The sequence below is a fragment of the Homo sapiens genome, chromosome 9, assembly GCF_000001405.40.
Source record: "Homo sapiens chromosome 9, GRCh38.p14 Primary Assembly".
Lineage (NCBI taxonomy): Eukaryota > Metazoa > Chordata > Mammalia > Primates > Hominidae > Homo > Homo sapiens.
In genome coordinates this window covers 36,800,214-36,821,216 of record NC_000009.12, presented here as the reverse complement: position 1 = coordinate 36,821,216, position 21,003 = coordinate 36,800,214, and the positions used below count along the sequence as shown (strand labels likewise).

At 47.3% G+C, this 21,003-nt stretch overlaps 1 long non-coding RNA gene across 1 annotated transcript in view, besides 1 other annotated feature; it reads right to left on the bottom strand.

The window, feature by feature from the left end:
- The window catches only part of LOC105376030 (uncharacterized), a 50,778-nt gene that overhangs the window by 9,036 nt on the left and 20,739 nt on the right, over positions 1-21,003 (bottom strand). The gene's annotated exons all lie outside the window — the stretch shown is intronic.
- Positions 428-928: an enhancer, noted in NCBI's record as "H3K4me1 hESC enhancer chr9:36820286-36820786 (GRCh37/hg19 assembly coordinates)". NCBI's record gives its function as "activates a minimal SCP1, AML or CMV promoter by ChIP-STARR-seq in naive H9 embryonic stem cells {active_cell/tissue: H9 hESC(naive)}" and the evidence as "EXISTENCE:reporter gene assay evidence [ECO:0000049][PMID:30033119]".

The following is a 21,003-nucleotide window of genomic DNA, read 5'->3' as shown; positions in this document are numbered from 1 at the left end:
CAAAAGGCAGTGGTGATTGCGTCCACACCATCAGAGCCCTCTGTAGACGCATCTCCATTTGGTCCTGAGATATGTTTTCCGTGGCTCTTCTGAAGAGGTCACGGCCTCCCTCTGAGGGGACTGGTGTGCTGGGTATTTTCCATCTGCCCCCAACCCCACCAGCTCCATGGCTCTCTTCAGCCCTGCTCTGCAGCTCAGGAGGTTGATCTCTGCGGACCACCTCACCCCGACCCCCTTGCCCTCTAGCTTCTGGTGGGATGGATCCAGCCAATGGGAGGCAGCAGAAGACTGGAGAGAGGGGAGTGAGAGGCGGATAATTTATCCCCACTCCCTCCTTGCCTCACCCCAGTTCTGACAGTGGCTGCCTTCAGGAGTTACATCCTCTTGCAGCCCCTCTTCCACGGCTCCCGGTCTTCCTCCGGGTTCTGGCAACAACATTCCATCCCCTTGTCCTTCAGGCCTCAGGGTGGTCGCAGCTCCCCGCTGGGGCTGCACCCTCCCACGGTGGCTTCCTGGGCCCTGCCAGTTTGCACCACGGTACGCTGTCTCATCGTTAAACTCTCCTCCCTTAAACTCTTTGAGTGGGCCGACCATTTTCTCCCGAGAGGCCCTGACTCAGAGGAGCCTGATCCTCCCAGGGCTGTGTGCCTGTCAGGGATGGAAACAGGAGCTGGGGAGTCGTGCAAATGCTCCGGGAGAAATGTCGATGCACGGCTGCCCCCGTGGCCGAGGCTTCTGCAGCATGACGTGGCACGCGCTTCCTCTATTCCTTTAACAAGCCTTGGCTGGGAGGCTTCCAGGGGTCCGTTTCCATGCTAGGCAGGCGCTGTCCTCATGGAGTTTACAGTCAGGGGTTAGGTGCTACTGTGGGAGGCACAGGGCTTTGAGCAGCAGAGGAGGAGAGGAGCTGGGTGGAGGGGCCAAGAGGAAGGAACAACCAAACTGAGAATCCGGAGGACGGGAAAGAGATGTCTGAGAAAAGGAGCTGGGGGAGCGACGCAGGGACAGTGGTGTTTCTGGCAGAGGAAACAGCAGGTACAAACCCCTAGAGGAGAGCCAGATCAGGAGTAGGGGGCGGGGGCATTTGACAGCTGTCCCCCCTGCCCGGGGACCAGGGAGCTGAAGTGCATTCACAGAGGAGAGGTCGGGGAGAGAAAGCTGTGAAGGGGGCACTGGAGGACTGCAGCCCTCCCTGCCCCACCCCAAGCCCCACTAAGGGGTTCTGTCTTTACCTTCAGGGCCAGAGGGCCTTTGGACACAGCCAGATTTACATTTGTAAAAGAGCCCTTGGTCCACAGCGTGGGAAATAGAAATCCGGCAGGAGGCAGGTGACTCCTTCAGAGGAACTAAGGTATGGTGAGCTCGCCAGCCGAATGGGGGAAGTGAACCCACACGAGTGAATCTGAACCCCCATTTTCCGGACGCGGACACAAGGCCCAGAAAGGGCCAGATCTTGCTCAGGTCACACAGAGAGGCAGCATACTGGGATCAGGGAGAGGAGAAAGGAGATAACCAAGGGCTGGAGCCACCTCGTCCTGGAAGGAAGACCCCTTCAGAAGGGATTCCCGGGGCAGGCCCTGGCCACCCCCGTGTTTCCTTGCAGGGCTGGGGGGGACCTTTGGATCCACTAGACCCCACCCTGGCAGGACCTGAACCCTCACCTGGACGCACCCCAGGCACCTCCACCGGCATAGGTGACAGGAGCTTCCCACTGAAATCATGCGAATATTAAGCTAATCAAAGCCTTGCTTGGGAAGGGATGGGACTGGGAAGGCGGCCCTAACGAGCTGCTGCGTGTCACTCCCTCCACCCTGCGCGTCCTGCGCTGTCCCATTTGTCTGGCTGTAATCTACATTTCAAATGATTACATGGGAAGCTGAAGTGGTAGTGACAAGGATAAACGAAGCTTGTTAAACTAATAGCTGCACTAATGCCCAAATATGTGAACTTCCCGACGCAGGCCGCATCCCAGCCTGGCGGAGCTGTCAGCCCCGCTCCCCCGGGCTCCGCCGCCAGCCGCGGCCACATGATGAATGGCCCTGTCGACCAAACTCATCCGGGGCCCAATTAAACAGGCAGAAATGAACTGGAGCCGTCAGGCAGCCGGGGAGGGGGGACGCGGGGAGGGGGAGGCTGAGCCAGACACAGAAAGGCTGGTGGGGGGGAGGGGAGAGCAGAGAGAGAGAGAGAGCAAGAGAGAGAGCCCAGGCCTAGGGGGTGGGAGAGAGAGGGCAGCCTGGGAGAAGAGAGGGTCAGAGGCCCAGGAAAGAGAGAAGAGACACCAGGGTGAGAGCGGGAGGAGAGAGACAGAGACACACAGAGATAGACGGAGACAGAGAGACCGAGAGACTGGGAAGGCAGAAGGAAGAGACTCCCAGATAGACACAGGGAGCGGGGAGAGACAGTCAAAGACACACACAGAGACAGAGAGGCAGAAGCACACACAGAGACAGAGTGAGGAGAGACAGCTGGAGAGAGGCACGCAGGACAGGTGGCCCAGGAGTGGGGGCAGAGGCGTTGCCGCTGGAGGGGGCGGTCCAGGAAGGGCCAGAGGCACGGTGGGGGGAATGGACGAGAAAAGAGGGCGCGAAGAGAAAATGAGTCCCGGCAAGTCCTGGCAGCTCGCAGCGGCAGGGAAGTCGTTCTGTCAGAAAATGGTCATTTAATGGTTTGCCGAGCCCGCGACAGATATGTCATCTGAGGCGGCTCGGCGGCAGTCCCAGGGCATTTCATTTATTAATTACCAGCTTCCAGCAGCTCCCTCGTCCCTGCTCCATGTCGTCACCAGCCCGGCCCCCCTACTCCCTCTGCCAGCAACAGCCCCATTACCCCGTTCCTGTTGGTGCCTCCCCTCGTCCCATTTTCCGGAAGAGGCGGCCCAAGGCCAAGGCCAGAGAGCGTCAGGCCTGCCAGCTGTGGGCCAGCCTCCCTCCCCGGGGGGCCTCCTCGGCTGGGCCTCCTAGACCAGGGTGGGGACCCCAGTCCCTCCCCTGCCCCAAGCCTAAAGGGAAGCGGGAGGCCGTGACCTACGTGCTCTCCTTTTCTCCTTTCGTAGAGACAGGGAGATCTTGTGTTGCCCAGACTGACTTTGAACTCCCCAGACTCAAGCAACCCTCCCGCCTCAGCCTCCCGAAGTGCTGGGATTACAGGCGTGAGCCACCATACCTGGTCCACATTACACTTTCTCATTCACAAATAAAATACTGTTTTGCTTGCCTGATAATTTTATATCTTTTTTTCTTTTTATGTAAACTCACTTTTACAGCCTTCAGATCTGTTCTTTCCCCCCTCTTGGCAGTTCCTAAGCCCTTTAAAGGGCCTTAACTCTGATTTCCTTTCATTCAGACCCAAGGAGCTTGTCTCTGTTTCCAAGCAGAGGTAGGTGCTAATATTCTCTCAGGTGGCCCCTTGCCCATGTGAGAAATGTTCCATCAGGAATGTTTAGTAAACTAGGAATGGATGCTCACAGATCGTGCTGGTGGCCAGCCCTGCCCACTGGGCAGACTGCACAAGGGAAGCTGGCACCTCAGCCACCCTCCCTTTCCAGCCTCCAAACCCCACCCTCCAAGATGGCCTGGAGCTGCCTCAGAGGAAGGGAACTGGCAGGGTATCTCTCTGTCCCCAGAGAGTCAGGGACGACTCTGGGCTGCCTAGGTCCCCAGTTGGCCACACTCCACAGGTCCTACTGCCCCCCAGGACCCCATGATCCAGATCGTTCCCAGAGGAAGATCCACAATGGAAGTGAAGTCCTTGTTTTTTGTTTGTTTGGGTTCCTTCCTCCCTCCCTCCTCTCTCCTTCTCTTTCTTTCTCCCTTCCTTCTTTCCTTCCCTCTTTCTTTCTTTCTTTTGTTTTTCCTTCCTTCCTTCCTTCCTCCCTCCCTTCCTCCCTCTCTTCTTTTCTTTCTTTTTTCTTTTCTTTTCTTTCTTTCTTTCTTTCTTTCTTTCTTTCTTCTTTCTTTCTTTCCTTCTTTCTCTTTCTTCTTTCTTTTTCTTTCTTTTTTGACAGGATTTTGCTCTGTCTCCACCGAGGCTGGAGTGCAGGGGCATAATTTTGGCTCACTGCAGCCTTGACTTCCTGGGCTCAAGCAATCCTCCAGTCTCAGCCTCCCCACCCCTGAGTACCCGAGACTACAGGCACACACCACCACACCTGGCCAATGTTTTTTTGTTTTTGTTTTTGTTTTTGGTAGAGTTGAGGTTTCACCATGTTGCCCAGGCTGGTCTTCAAACTCTTGGGCTCAAGCGACCCGCCTGCCTCAGCCTCCCAAAATGCTCATGAAATTCCTGTTTTAAACAGGATGCCTGCTCAGAAATGGTGGCACCGACTAGAGTGGGGTAAACTCTTTCTTTCAGAGGCCCAGGGCCGGTAAGACATTGCTGAGGCCTGTGTTGGCCCTGGCATGAATCTGGAAGGTTGGTCTGAACCTCCCACCTCTACTACCTGAAACCACCAGAAGGCTCCCTGCACATCCCATGTCCCCAGGTGCCCAAGTGAACATAGCTCCTTCCCAGAGCCTCCCTGGGCTCCCCATCCCAGCCAGCAGCACTTGCAGCCCCACCCTCCAACTTGAGCATATCCTGTACCTAATGTGTCACCAAAGGGGGCACAGCCCACCTTTCAGCCTTCCCACCTGTCTATCCCCTATCAACTCCCCAGCGCAGACATCTCTCACCTCCTTCGGGCTTACGGTTCTCCTCCACACCACACCTGGGTGACCTTCCAAGGGGCAAAGCTTCTCCCCTGACTCCCTTCAGAGGCACAGAATTCAGGCTCCTTTTCAGCCTTTGAGATCTTGCCTATTTTTTTCCTGCTCCTGCCACTGAGCTTTTAGCTCCCTCTGACCTCTCTCTATCTCTCTCTCCTCTCCTTCACCCCCAACACTGGGGCCTTGGCACACAATATCCCCTCTGCCTGGGATCCCCTTCTGTGCACTGGGACCTGTAGGGAAATGTCACAGGTAAATTGGACTGTCAAGGAGTCCAAGGATGGAAGTGAGCCCAGTGTCATGGGCAGCGGTTTACAACAGCGACTGGAGGAGCACTCTCCTGGAGTCGGGGAGGAGCCTCTAGCATAGGATGGGAGTCTTGGCTCAGGAACCACTCAGGACCTTCCAGCCCAGGTCTCTGACCCTATGCATCTGCTTCTTAGAAATCATAGCTGGTAATCGCCCTTTTTGTGGGTTCCTGTTAGTGGGGCCAGGGCCGGGAGCTTCCAGAAACACTGAATTTTAGTTTATTCCTAACCTTAGCACAAATGATATGCTCCAGCAGTCCTCAGAAGAAAGCTGGTGGGGACAGAACTCACCTGTTCCTTGTAGGGGCATCCAGGGCTCGTGGGGACAATGAATGTCTCCTGCAAAGAGAATTAACTAAGAGCCAGCACTGTAGGAGTGGGTCAAAGTCCATGAGGCCTACCAGCAGACATCACCCTTCTCACAGTAAAGATAGGTCAACTGAGGTCCAGAGAGAGGAAAGGAGTTGCCCAAGATCACAGAGTGAGCCAGAGGCAGGCCCAGAGCCAAAGCCCAGGTCACATGAGTTCCCACCAGGGATCTTCCCGCAACATAGCAGAACCACTGTCCCCTTGGTGTCAAAACCCTATGGGGGAGCAATTGGATCCCCATTGAAAACAGAATTCCTCAGCTTTAATTAATCTTGTCATATGAAATAAATGACCATGACTGTTTTCAAAAGCTCATTAAAATATATTTTTATATATTTATTATTATTATTTCTTGAAATGACCTGGGCTCCCAGATTTCTGGGATGAAGACTGTGATTTATAAACACTCTCCCATGGATCATTTCTTGTACGGTGGACAGCCTGAGAAAAGGACCATAAGGCTCTTGGGTTATTTTTGTTAGCTCAGATTTGCTTCCACTGGCGCTCTGTTCTCCTTCACTGTCTGTGATTTGGCTAGAACTGCCAGTCAGTCTCAGGACAAGCCTGGCCACCCATAGTACCTCTTCCCTCTGACAACAGTGATTGGTCCAAGAGATGGGCATGTGAGCCATCAAGACCAATCAGAGTGCTTCCCTGGGACTTACACACATAGAAACTCCTTCTTCCTGCTGCAATGCCAGGCTAGAGCTTTCAAGGGCTCTTTTCTTTACCTGCGCTGAGGAAACTCAATAGCAATGAGAAATAATGAGGTCAATATACAAATGGAAGCAAACCCAAGAAATGGAGGGAGAAAGAGAAACCCGATCACTTGGTTTAGGCCCTAGATTCAGCCATGTCTGAAGCCAGTGCCATCCCCTGGAGGTACCCAGGGTCATGGGCCAATTAATTCTCTTTATTCTATTTTTTAGATTGATTTGGGATTTTCCCCCCTTGTACCTGAAAGATGTTCCAAAACAAGTACAAGGCCTTTCCTTCTGTCCGCCTATTTTACACAATAGTTGGCATATACACAGCCCCCTCCTCTGAGACACTTTGGGTACAGAGCTCACACACACACATTCTTTCATCACTGGGGAAGAAGGCCCCAGTAACAGGCCCCTGTGTCCCTTCCTGCCTCTCCTGCACTGTCTTCTCAGGGTGTTGGTGTTTCTTCTTGTGGGCAGAGGAAATTTCCAGACCACTGGAAGTCCTCTTTAGGCTCAAGGGGGGCCAGAGGCTCTGAGATGTTTTTGGGTTATGCACAAGACTGTTTCCAAGAGGGACAAAGGAGTCTCTTTCATTCAAGTGTTCTGATCACATCACTCTCCTATTCAAAAGCCTCCAATTACTCCCTACTACCAATGGGGAAAAGTCCAGACTCCTTAGCCTAGCAGTCTATGCTCTTCACAGTCTGCCCTGAATTCCTCATCCTCTCTTTCCTACCTCTGGGTCTTTGCTTGTGCTGTTCCTCCTCCTTCCTCTGGAACACCCACCTGTGAGAGTCCCTCCTGTCCTTCTAGGCCTGGCCCAAGCACTACCTCTTATAAGCAGCCTTCCTCACTCCCCTAGTAATAAGGCAACTTGTTCTGGGCCTCCTAGGACAGGCATGTTATCTGCCCCTCTTTGTGACTTATCATGTAGTCTGTCTTGCATTAAATGTATTGTTTATTTTGCCTGACTTGCTCTCTCTACCTCCATCCTGTCTCCAGACTGGGTGATTCTTAATTTTATCTTTTAGGTCTCAACTCAAAGGTTACTTGCCCAGAGAAGCCTTCCTTAGCTGCCTCCCCCTGAAAAAGTCTCTTCCCCTTGATTTCTTGTGGTCACTGCACTCTAAACTCTTTTTCAACAGTACTTATTGCATTTTATGGTAAAATATTTATTACTATTAAAAGTATTTGATTAATGCCTGTATCCTCCTATTAGAACATATGCTCCCTGAAGCCTGAGACTTTGTTTTGTAGCTAGAGTGGCACCTGAAACACCAGTCAAAATTAGTGGAATCACTGCTGGTAGAGTCAATGACTGAATAGGTATATGAATGAATAAATGAAAGTCTCCCCCAGCCCTGTACTAAATGGCAGCTTGCTGGGGTCAGGGACTGTCAGTGATCTTTATATCCTTCATTGTACCTCACATATAGTCATAGTAAGTGGTCAGCAAACATGAATTTAACCATCAGCAGGTGCAGTTTATAGGAGTTCCTGGACTCTACCCATGGCTATAACATGAGCCAGAAACCTAGGGCCCCAATCCAAGCTGGGTCAAGAATTGAAAAATTTTAATAACCACAAAGGATATTCCCAAATCCAGGCATACTAGGGCTGCAGAAATGACTGAAACAAGCCCCCCTGCCCTTGGGAGCAAATAGTACAGTTGTCCCGAGTGAGTTGTTCTGACCCATCACCTCTCCAATGGGGTATGACATCGTCCTCGTTCTCGAGTTTTACTGCTACAAGATAGGCTTACTCAACTCCTCAGTAAATAGCATTACATAAGCACCATGCGCGCACACACATGCAAATCCAGAGTGGACAATAACCCCAGGCGTGTTGGAGTGTTTGATGGGACGACCGCGGGAAAGCAAGCCAGGAGCCAGTTCTAAAAAACAATATTTATTTATTACAATTGGCAGAGCAATGGAGAAAATTGCCACTTAGATAGGATTTTACATTTTGCAAAGCGTTTTGTAATCAGCACAATTTCTCCCAACAGTTCTCGAGGGCAAGTTGTTTTTGTCATTCCCATTTGCAGGCAAGGAGGAGATAGTAGGAGAGAATGAGGGAAGTACTGTGCTTCTACTTACACAGACCTCAAGAGGAAAGGAGAACTCTGGCTTAACTGAATATAAGCATTTTTTTTTTAGAATATCTACTATGTGCTGGGCAATGGGGAAGACCTGCATAAGATTCTGGGCCTTAGCTCACCACTGATTTCTCTGGGGGTGTATGCCCTTTGTCTCATCCAGAGAAGAAAACAATATGTAATCTTACATTGCCTCCACTTAGTGCTTTGCTTGGCCACCTCTCTTTTGGAAATTCACATAAGTTACATCAGGCTAGGTAATGCTGCTGTAACAAATAATCCCAAAATCTCAGTGCCTTAAGACAGCATTTTATTTCCACCTCAAGCCAAATGTCTGTTGTGGGTCAGCAGGAGCTGAGGGGAGTGTTATGCTCATTGTAGACCCAGGCAGAAGAACACCCACCTGTGAGAGTCCCTCCTGTCCTTCCAGGCCTGGCCCAAGCACTACCTCTTATAAGTGGCCTTTCTCACTCCCCTAGTAATAAAGCAACTTGTTCTCGGCTTCCCCGGACAGGCATGTTATCTGCCCCTCTTTGTGACGCTGAATGAGTGTTGTGCTCATTCAGAGACCCAGGCAGAGGAAGTAGTTTTCACCTCAAACATCATAGGTAAATGTGCTAGAGGAAAAGAGAGTTCTGGAAACTCTTGCATTATCAGTAGTTCAATTCCTTGGTGCAGAGGTGACGTATTGTTTCAGGGCTTACTTTTTGGCCAAAACCAATCATACAGGCCCACTTACCCAAAAGGCACCCAGGAATTGCAAATCTTCTGTGCCCGGAAGATGCAGAGGACTGGCAATACTTCACAAACAGAACTAAAAACTCTATGCAAGTTGAAGTTCATCCCATGCCAAGAAGAAAAATTAAAGCCAAATCCTTGAGTGTGTCCTTACATCTGGAAAAACACCAACTTTTTAGGGAAAATGGATTTTTGCAACTGATGGATTGTGCTTTCTTAGGAAGGAGAAAAACCTGAGACCTGTGCAAAGACTGACTTGTACCAAAATCAAGAGTGTCTTGAGATGCATTAAAGAGAAAAAGCCTACCTGGTGCAATAAGACAAGCAAAATAAATTAAAAGACATATAGATTACAAAGGAAGAATTAAAGTTGTCTTTGTTTTCAAATGACATGATTGTTCATAGGAGATCCTAAAGAATCTACCCCCAAAAAACCTACTAGAGCTAATAAATGCATTTAGAATAAATCGATATACAAAATAAATATAAAAATCAATTGTATTTCTGTACATTAGGAGTGAACAATTAGAAAATTATATTAAAAATAAATACTATGTATAAAAGCATTCAAAAACATCAAATGCTTAAGGAGAAGCTTAAAAGATGAAAACCTTCTACACTGAAACTATAAAACAATGCTGAAAGGAATTTAAAAGACATAAACAAATTAAGCAAATTAACAATTAAATTTTAAAATCATGATTGAAAGACAATATTATTATAGCATCCATTTTCCATAAATTGATTTAAATACCAATTTCATCCCAGTCCAAAAGATTTTAAAATTTATTTGGAAAGGCAAAAGACCAATAATAGCCAAAACAATCTTGAAAATTAATTACAAAATGAGGAGACTTATGCTATCAGATTTCAAGACTTACTATAAAGCTATAACCATCAAAACAGTGTGGCTTTGGTGAAAGCATAGACAAATCAATGGAACAGGATGGAGGATTCAGACATAGGTCCACACATATATTGTCACTTGATTTTTAACAAGGAAGCCAACACTGTTAAATGGGAAAGAAAAATGTCTTTGGCAGATGGTGCTGGAATAAATGGAAATCCATATGAAAACAAAGAATCTTGGCCCCATCTCACACCACACACAAAAATAAATTCAAGCTGAATTACAGACCTAAAGGTAAAAGTGAAAAAAATAAAGTTCTTAAAGGAAAACAGAATATCTCTGTGACCTTGGGGTAAGCAAAGATTCCTTAGAAAAGACACAGACAGCATAAATGATAAAAGGAAAAAGTTGAGAAAATGAATTTGATCAAAACCAAAACTTCTGCTCATTAAAAAGTACCATCAAGAAAATAAATCGGGAAGTTACAGAATGAAAGAAAATATTAACACCACAATTATCTGACAAAAGACTTGTATGCAGAATATATAAACTCCCACAACTCAGTAATAAAGACAGGCAGCAGAATTTATTTTTAAAAAGACAAAAGACTTGAGCAGACATTTTACGGAAGAAGATATATATAAGTGGCTAATAAGTGTACAAGAAGTCACTTAGCATCATTGGTCATCAGGAAGATGCAAGTGACAATGAGAGATCACTACTTACTGTCTAGAATGGCTAAGATGATAAAAGCTGACAACACGAGACGTTGGAGAGAATGTAGAAAAATCGTAACTCACATATAGTGCAATTTGGAATGTAATATGGTATAACCACTTTTGAAAACACTTTCATAATTTCTTGAAAAGCTAAACATATATCTACCCTATGACCCAGAAATTTCATTTCTAGGTATTCACCTGAGAAATAAAAACCTATGTCCACAAAAAGGCTGGTAGGAGAATTGTCGTAGAAATTGTATCCACAATAGTTAAAGAATGGAAACAACCTAGATGTCTATGAACAGGAGAATAACTAAGTAAGCTACAGTATTGTCTTCCAGTGGTATCCTCACGAGACAGACACAGGCAACAATATGGATGAATCTCAAAAATATGATGAGGGAAGAAGCCAGACTCAGAACGCGTATAACATGTGATTCCACTTATTCTAAAATAGGCAAAAGTATCCTGTAGTAATATAACTTAGATTCGTGGTTGTTTTGGGGTGAGGGTGAGGATTGCCTGAAAAAGTTCTGATTTAATCTACTTTCATGAAAACTGATGAGACAGACTTAAGATCTAAACAGTTCATTGTATGTAAATTATACCTCATGGGTCAGCCCCTATCAGCAAGGAAAGCCAGGCAATAATGTCCTCAAGATGTTCCAAATAATATCATGGCTCCATCACTAAGTAAAAGGGGAGAATGAATATTGGGATGCCAGACCTTGTTCTCAGAGCATCATACATTTGTTCATTTAATCTTCACAATGACCATTATTATCCCCACTGTGCTGATGACAGATCTCTGCTACAGGAGGTGTTGAAACTCAATGTCATGGCATATGGAGACTGGTTGAAGGAATCAGAGATGTTTGATCTGGAGAATATAAAATTGAGAAGACTCAAGAGTTGATCATAAATTCCTGAAGATCTCAGGGCAAGGAACCAGAGTTCTTCTGGGTAGCCGCAAAGGGTGGGGCTAAGATCAACGGAAAGAAGACGGTGTCTAGGTCTGGTTTCATGAGAGGAAATAACATCCTCCTAAGCACCATTAGCCCTTCCCCAGAGCCCCACAAGAGTCTAGTGAAGGAGAAATGTCTGATAGTATCCCCAGTCTACAGACAAGGAGGCTGAGTCCAGGAGAGATCACATGATTCGTCGCACACTCAGTGACAGAGCCAGGGTGAGATCTTAATGCTCCTCCCCGGTCACTCAGCCTGTCCCCATTTGAATGGCATCTGGGAGGCAGTAAAGTTCAATGTGGAAACTCTGGAGTCACACACAGACCTGGGTTAGTGTCTCCACCACCAACAAGCTGGGGAACTTTGGATTAGCAAACCATTCTCAGCTTAATTTTCCCATCTGTAAAATGGGAACCATAAAAATGGTAGCTCTCTTAAGACTGAGATGAGGCTCAGTTGAGATAATGCATGTGACATAGCAGAACATCTGGCACATAGTAAGTGCTCATGAAATAATGGTTATTATTGTTTGCCTCGGAGATTCAATCAGTGGCATAGTACCTGGTACCAATGACCTTGACGCAGCCTTAAGTTCACATCCTGCAAGATGGGAAACATCTGGATCTTGTGCAATGTTTGCTATGCCAAGGAGGGTTGGAGGCCTAATTAAAATTGCTACTCTGTTTGCATTATCAAATGTCAGAGTTTTTTTTTTCTTCTCACAGAGCAAAGATTTTTCTTATCAAAAATCTATTCGCTAAAATGCTAATCATCGTCAGTGATTAGAAACTGCTGCTCAAATTTTGAAAGTTCCCAGTGGGCCTCTCAGACATGGCTTGTAACTTGTCAGTTGAAGAAATGTTCTCAACAAATCAAACTTTGCTGTATATGTTAAAAAAAAAAAAAGAAGAAGAAGAAGAAAGAAAAAGAAAAGAAAAGAAAAAAAGAAAAAAGATTTCATTTCCTTAATGCTTCACTGTACGAGTCCAGCAGGGACTTTTGAGTTAAGTGACAGAGACCGCATTATTAGTTGTGGAGCCGGTTCTAATAGAAGTCTCTCAAGGCAAGATCGTCTCAGGCCCCAAAAAACTGCTAACGAAAGCCTGTCAAGCTTATCTTAATTTCAACGAGCATTTAGTTTGCCAAAAAGAGGCACAGCAAGCAATTTTCTTTTATTATATTCTTTTTTGTCCTTCCTCTCCTTTTTCTTCTCCTGTGCCTTCCTCTTCAGGAGGAAACATCTGCAAGGATGTTTCCTGAACGTGTAGCCAAGCATCAGATGCCATCAGCTTGTTCTCCGTGGTCAGACCTGGGTACCTGGGGCCTCCTGGGCTGTGTCTGCACAGCCCCAGCAGAACCAGATGGGCTGATGATGTGGGAGGGCGGGAGTCACTTCACCCTGGGCTCTTAGCTGCCCTGGCACATGTGGACACCAGAAATCAAAGGCCTTGCCTCTCACAGGACCTCACATACTGCTCACCTGGTCTCTCTAGGGTGGTCTCCAGGAGATACATGACTGGACTGTGGCGGAACTCTCACTTTGGCCACAATGAGAGATTTGGTGTCCATTTATCTCTTAATGGGGCAGCTCCGCTGGAGGTTTTAAAGTCCAGGGAGACAGTCCTGAGTCGTGTTTGGAGCACAGATTCTGCAGTCAGGCAGGCTTGGCTTGGGCCTAGTCTCAGCTCCACCACTGTGCTCATTCATTCAAGAAATATCATTGAGTACCTATTATGAGCCAGGTCCTGTGCTGGGAGCTAGCAATAGCGAACTGAACGAAATAGGTACTGTCCTTGTCCTCCTGAAACGTGCAATCTGGTGGAAGAGACAATAATCAATTAAGCAAATCAATAAATTAAATAATTACAGACTCTGATTAGTGTTTTAAAGGAAATCAGTGGAGTGCTATGAGCAATGGTTCTTGAAGTGTGGTCCCCGGACCAACAGCTTCGACATCATCTGGGAGCATGTTAGAAGTGCAAGTTCTGGGTACAAAAGCAAAAATAGAAAGAATGCATAAGATCTAGTATTTGAAAGCACAACAGAGTGACTATAGTCAATAATAATTTAATTGCACATTTAAAAATAACTGAAAGAGTATAATTGGATTGTTTTCAACACAGGATGGGGCTTGAGGTGACAGATACCCATTTACCCTGATGTGACTATTACACATTGTGTGCCTGTATCAAAATATCCTACATGCCCCATTAATATGAACACCTTTTATGTACCCACACAAATTATAATTTAAAAACTAAAGAAATGCAAGTTCTCAGGTTCCACCCCCGACTTACTGAGTCAGAAACTCTAGGGTGAGTGGGGCAACAACCTGTGCCGTAACAAGCCCTCCAGGTGGCTCAGGTGCATGCTCAAGTTTGATGACCTCCGATACAGAATGATGAGGCTGCCAAAAGCCTCTTGACTGAGGGTGGTGAAAAAGGCCAGCCCGAGGAAGTGATGCTCAAAGAGAGGCCTCAGGAATGAGGAGGACCCGTGTGAGGAGTTGGAGGAAAAGTGTCCCTGGCTGTGTGGTTTTGGACCTCAGTTTCCTTATCTGTGTATTGGGGATGACAATAGTTTCTGCCATCATAGGGCTGTAATGAGGACCAGTGGCTAAAGGGCTTAGCAGGCTTTGCAAAAAAGTAAGCTCGCTGTTAAAGATTATTTTTCTTATTTAGCATATGATGCCACCAGGTCCCAGCTCTTGGGGGACCTGCAATACTAGGAAGGTGGCAAGCAGGCTTCTGGGAGGCCCAGTCTTCAGGGGTCTGTGCTGTAGTGTCAATAGAGTCAGGACCTCAGATACAAGCAACAAAGCTTCCAGGGGTCTCATTCCAACTTCCACTTAGCATCGGGCTCCACCCTCCATCAATTTTTTTTTTCTACTTGCAAACAACTCCAAAGTACCAGGGATTTTGTGCATTTTTAAAGCAGCACAGATCCTGGTACATCATCCCAACAAGATGACGTGGGACACTTTCATCTTCAGGAAGAATGCTTGGTTAAAAATCAGAGAAGTCCCATCTGTCCAGCCGGTCAGCAGCCATGCCATGAATCTTGCCCGAGAGCCCAAGGTGCACGGTCGCTGACCTCAGGGAGCTTGTGACCTAGTTGGGGGATATGAGACACACAAGCAGCTGCACAAAACACGAGGTAGAAAATGCTATTAGGGAGATGTCGAGCATTCAGGGGACAGGGAGATTGATTCCTGCTGGGAGTTTGGGGACACCTTCCTGGATGTACGTTCCCTCGAGGACATCCATCATTTCTTGCAGGAGCTTCCAAGTCTAAAGAGCTTATTATTCCCTCCTACACCACTTGGGACTGTAAATCAAAAAGTCCAGTTCATAGAAATCTTCAATTCTTAAGCAGAGAAGAGAGAGGCTCAAAGTTGGTTTAAACTCCCTGCCAGCCCTTTGGAAGGAGAAGGGGAAGAAGATCTTTGAAAGCTGCCTCTGTTGTGTTTATTTCACGATCAGGAGGTCCTTAGGAAATATCTAGACCAATTCTCCCACTGTAGAGATGAGAAACTGAGGCCAGAGAAGGAAGGGATGTTGCCAAGGTTACCTGCTGAGTCAGGGGCAGTGCTGGGACTGGAATCCCGGCCCTGTGGCCTCCTGTGGGGGTAGGAGCTGGGGCCGCAGGAGGTTTGCCTGAGAACACTGGCCTGGACTTGCTACCAGGACCTCCTGGGACCCCTGTGCTGGGTCTTTTTGCTCTCATCAATTACCACCAATTTCTTGTCCCTGCATCCAGAGCTTAGGCCCACCCAGCTAGAACTGTCTTCTGCCCCAGGGGAGCCAGACAAATGCCCAGAGACTGAGGCAGGGGCCAAGCCTCTTCCTTGTGTACTTCCTGCTTTTGCCCTGTTTCCTGGCCTCTGACTGCTTCCTTAGCCCTTGCCCTGGACTTTGGCCCCAGAGGATCTGGGGCCATTGTGGGGTGGGTACAGTTTCTGTACCTTCTGCTGCCAGTGTCTGCTCCCTCCAGACCCCAGCTCATCCGACTCATGCTCCTGTCACGTCTCCTCTCCCTTGGCCTGCATGGACCTCTCACCGCGTAGGTCCTTGGCTCTCACCTGGCTCTTCTGGCCCAGTAAGTGATGCCCCTGCTTCCCATCCTTCTACAGCTTCACCAAGAAGAAAAACACCCACATAGCATCGAGAAAAACTACCACATTTAGCCTCGCTTTAAAATTCAGGTAAATTAATACAGCTAGAAAAGAAAAACAAAAATGTAGGCTTGATTAGTGAAAATTTTACTACTTAGAATTGATGACATGAACTGAGGTTAATTGATCATCCAGGTAACAACACTTATTTGCATCATGACCACGTGTCAGCATCACTTAGTTATGAGTTGAACTTGATGATACCACTGAGCTCAGGTAAAGTATCCTGGGCCTTCATATTTGCCACATAGTTTTGTCACCTGCTCCCAGTTTTAATAGTTTGGAAATGTTTGGCCATATTCCAAAGTCATGGCAGTTGTTGTGGTCATGAAATTATGTTAAAGGGTAACACAGGTCATCTATATCAGCCTCAAACCCAGGGAGGGAATCCCACCCACACCTCGCTGGGAGTGGTCACCCAGGCCCATTCTTGAGGATTTCTGGTGGCAAGGAGCTTGCTATCAACAAGGAATTCTGATCTTTGAGTAATGCCAATTGAGTGGAAGTCCTTCCATAGATAGAGTCAAAATCTGCCTTTCTGTGGCTTACACTATCAATTACATCATCAATTACACCATCAATATTGGTTGTGTTGATCTAGACGTTAGTGAAAAGTCTTCCACATGACAGTCCCCTCAGTATTTTAAGATGCTGAGATTGTGAGACCCCAAGAGGCAGTATAGTATAGTGGATAAGAACCTACTTATTTGGGTTCAAATCCTGGTTCTGCCACTCACTAGCTATTATTATATTGATGGAGTTATGTACTCTCTCTATACCTCAGGTACCTTAACTATAAAATGGTGACCATAGTGTTTACCTTTTGAGTTATTGAGACAATTAATGAGCTAATATGCCTAAGTGCCTGGAACATACTCAGCTCTATGTGAATGTTAGTTACCGCTCTTTTCTTAGTCTCACAGACTAACTATTCTCCATTTATTCCATTTTTCCCCTTAAAGATTACTTAAAGCTCCTTCATATGGAAACACCTTAGGAGTCCTGCAAGTTTCTCAAATTGGGTACAGAAAACAATAAGGCATTGTTATAAAATTAAATGAGTTATTTCAAGCAAGGCTCTGAGTACAGTTGCCTGAAACATAGTTAGCCTCAATAAATACTTGCAGTCATGGTTATTGGTGCTTATTGAACTATTCTACAATAGAGACGAGAAATTAATGATATACATGTCTCAAATCTAAGTGACTTTTGAATAACTTAGACGTGTACCTAAGTGAAATGTCTTAAATAAAGACTAGGCATGTGTGCAGAAAACTGCTCTAATTACTCAGCTCCTGCAGACACATTCCCGTCTTTGGAGACTCACAAAGTCTCAGTTACCGTTTCCCCTCAGGTATCGCGCTTCACGGTGATGAATGGGAACTGAAACTTGGAATGGAAATGCTGTTTCCATGGGACTGCGGTGGCAGCAGGAAAGGCATTAGATTAGTGTTTGAAATGCACAGTCTTGGAGAGGAAGCCGGAAGCTGCCTTCAAGAACACCCCCAGCTCAGCCCTGAGACTCATGGAGGGAAAGTCTTTCACCAGCAGGAAGGAGTTCCAGGAGCATCAGGGATCGATCTCGGGGCCACCTCCAAAGCAGCAGCTCCCGATACAGCTGTTCCAGACACAGCAGCTTTTTCCAGATAAATCAACCTTGCTGTCTCAGAAATCCCAGAAGCAACAAATGCTATACTTTTTTCTCCTTTTTGCCCACATCTTTTTGTTGTTGTTTTGGCTGTCATTGTTTGAGTGTGACTATATTTCACCTAGACTGCTGCATGCATTATCTCATTAGATTCACAATGCTCATCTGAGGTTGGTAGTTTTATTCCCATTTTACAGATAAGAAAGTTGAGACAGATTGTTCACAACTATTTCAATTCTCACTTTTCCACACTCTGAGAAGATGTGCATGGCCAGACTAGCTTTGACCAGTGGAATGTGAATGGAAGTGAAAGAGCTCACTTTAAGGGCAGTGAGTGAATTACCATGCCCTGTTCACATTGCCTTGGTCATTGCGGAAGGAGTAACAAGAAGTTTCCATAAACCTGGGTTCTGGAGTTACTACAATGAATAGAGTCCCCAGCAAATCTTTAATGAACACGCAGCATGAGCAAGAGATCAATCTCGGTCATTTTAAGCCACTTAGATTTCAGAGCTGTTTGTTACTGCGGCATAAGCTAGATTATCCTGACTGATACAGAAGTGTTCCATACCATGCCGAAGGTTACAGAGGTGTGGAGCTGAAATTTGAAGCCAGGTTTGTCCTATTTTAAAGTCTGTGCTCCACCCGCTACATTATTACACTGCCTCCTTTCTTTCTACCTCCTTAGTTCTCTGCCTCACTGCCTCCTCACCCCAGCCTACCCACTGGGCAACTATGCTCAGAGTGTAAAAGGGTCTCACTCCACTCCGCTTAGCAGGAAGCACTTCCCTGCCCTCTGGAAACACTCCTGGGCAACCATGGTTTTTACAAAGGCACGCTGAACTCCAAAGGCAGGGGCGGAAGTGGATGGAATTGCCTCTCACACTGTTCTACCCTCTTGTACTTGTTGCTCTCCTTCCCATCCCGAGGGATCCTTCCCCAGAAAACTCCAGTCTCACTGGGTTCCTCATTTTATGTCTCCTCAGGATTAAAGGCTGGCACTCAAGGCCCACCGTGAACCAGTTCCTGCTTCCTTTCTAGTTTTCATTCCTGTCTTTCCTCTGCATGAGGTCCCAGGCACAAACATGTAGGAATTCCCTCCTCCCTGATCCTTTTCATCTTCTGACAGTCACACACACGCGTGCACACACACACACACACACACACACACACACACAACACATCAGTTGCTCCGTCCCTCCATTCCCAGCCCCTAGTCCTCGCCTGCGTCTCAGTGTGAGTCACTCTGCATCAGCCTGGTCTATGCATGCTCTGTCTCCCCTCAGACTGAGGCGCTCAGGGCAGGGACTACATCTGATTTCTTTCTGTGTCCCCAGAGACCCCATAAGGTCTGATCCATCCAGAGTGGGGGCTTCTGACATAACAGCATAGGACGCTAAACACCAGCTGCCCAAAGCCCGAGCTTCCATAGTGGGCAAAAAAAGGGCATTTTGCAACCTTCCCTCTGTCTCCTTTGAATGCGATCCAGCTGAAACAAACAAAAACAAACAAAACGTGCTCTTCTCTCTGAGCCCCAGGCTGGTTCTCCCCGGGCACTGTGCTTTCAAACATCATCTGCTTTCCCACTCCAAGCTCTATCTATCATCTTTGCCAGAATCTGTCCCCGAGGGGCTGTGGCACGAAAATAGTCAACATTTAACACAATCAGAGCTTGTTCCATGGTGGGGGTGGGCAGTGTGTGTGTACTGGCAGGGCTGAGCACACGGCTTGTCTTCTGAACTGAACACAAACGCCTAAAGACGGGATTCTCTCATGAGACCGTCCTCCTCCTTCCCCCTTTCCTATTTTCCTTTTATAGAGGAGGCAGGGCAGGACAAATGCAAATGGTGGCCCCACTGGAGTGCCCGCTTCTCCCGTTGTCAATTGTGCCTCTAGATTCTGGCATGTCTTGGCCTCATTTAAGGGTTCTCACCTACCCATCGCTACATAGCACTCAGTGGCCAGGAACTGGGAAGATACGTCGGTACTTCTTCATGCCTTCAGTAGCAAACATTGTACTTGAGCGTTCCGTTTATAGAAACGTAGCTCATGGTGCAAAGTCCTAACCTAAAGAATCCCAGTGGAACTTCAGGTGGGCTGGCATGTTTAAAGAGGGGAGAGAAGGGAGAAAGAAGATCAGAGAGGGACAGGTAAAGTCAGTCAAAGTGGTGTCTGTGTTTAGGCTGTCCTTTCCTTTCAAGTCCCTGGTTTCTGGTTTCAACACCTTTACTTAGAGGCCTCAAGAGGAATGACAAGGTGGGTATTGGAGACCCAGTGCTCGAGTTCCTCCACAGCGACGTCCATGCCCAAATAAATAATATTTCTGTGCTTGACCATGGCCAAGGGCATGCCCCGGGGCAGTTCAGGTTAGGTAGTGTGAGACAGAGGCAAGAAGGAAAAGCCAAGTGAGACAGTGGCTGCCTCTTGGGGTTCCCTTCCATCTTCTCTTTGCTCTTCCTGGGTGGACACGCCCCTCTCCTCCCCATGTGTTACTCCCTTGGCACTGAGCTGTGGCCGCAGAAGTAGCCATAGCATGCCTTACTGACACTCTCTAAACACCCCCAAACATGAGGCTGAGACACCTACTTACAGTCGCTCCTTGCAGGTACTGATGTGGTAGTACAGAGATAGAATAAGGTAATCAATGAAGCTCCTACTATCCCCAATTTGCCACAAAAACAACGAAGCTCCAGTCACTCTGCTCCAGGTGACACTGAACCTCCTGTGAGATGGGGTGGCTTCCCCCAAACCACCCAGAAACAGGCTGATTGATTGAGCTGAATTCATTTTTCCTCCTGACTACAGGGACAAGTGCTTACAAATTGAATGAAATTGATGCACCGTCTGCAAGTGGAGTTATTCAATTTTCAGCGGCCGCATTCTGAGCCTTTAGCATGCTCCTCACAGTTTTAGGGCAAATAATATTTGTTTTCTTCCTGCACAAATATGAAAATGTTTCCGGCATTCTGAAAGCTCCTCTTTTGGGTATTTGCACTGAATTCCATTTCTGTAAGCGTTTGCTGAGGCTATTGGTCCAAAAGCCAGCAGTTGGCTGGCGATCCTTGAGTGCTGTATGCCAGGCATTTTAACATGTTTGATCTCATTTGACCCCCTACAAGAACCCTCTGAAGGGGACTATTTCCCCTGCTTCCCAGATGGGGAAACCGGGACTTGGAGAAATGGCTTGCCCAAGGACACACAGCCAGTCAATACTGGATCTGCCTCCAAAGCCAAGCCCTGTTGTGGGACTCCTCTCAACCATGAGGTGGTGCAGGTCCATAAAAGGCGTTGGCCAGCTCCAATTTGAGTGGATGGTGAGTCATCAGAGCCCAGCTTAGGCATCTGCAGAAAACATTTATGAATGAATGAATGAGTGGGTGAATAAATAGACAACTGAGGGAATCTCTAGGACAAGGCTCCCATCTCCTCCCTTCCGTGCATCATAATTCTGCTTTTCTGACACTGCCCTGGGAGCCCTGGACCCAAGAGATCCTCCCAAGTCACATCTTCACCTCATAGGCCACCATGTGGTTGTACATCACACAGGGCCCAAACATCAACAGCCCTGTGAGGAGAAAATGGCTGAAGAGCTGTCTCCACTCCTGGAAGAGCTCATTTCTGTGTGTGCTGAAGGGCACTGCCTGGAACAACCGTGACTGTGCAGCTGCCATGGCAGTGTTCTGCAGCCCTGGCAAGCTCCTCTAGCCAAGCCCTTGAC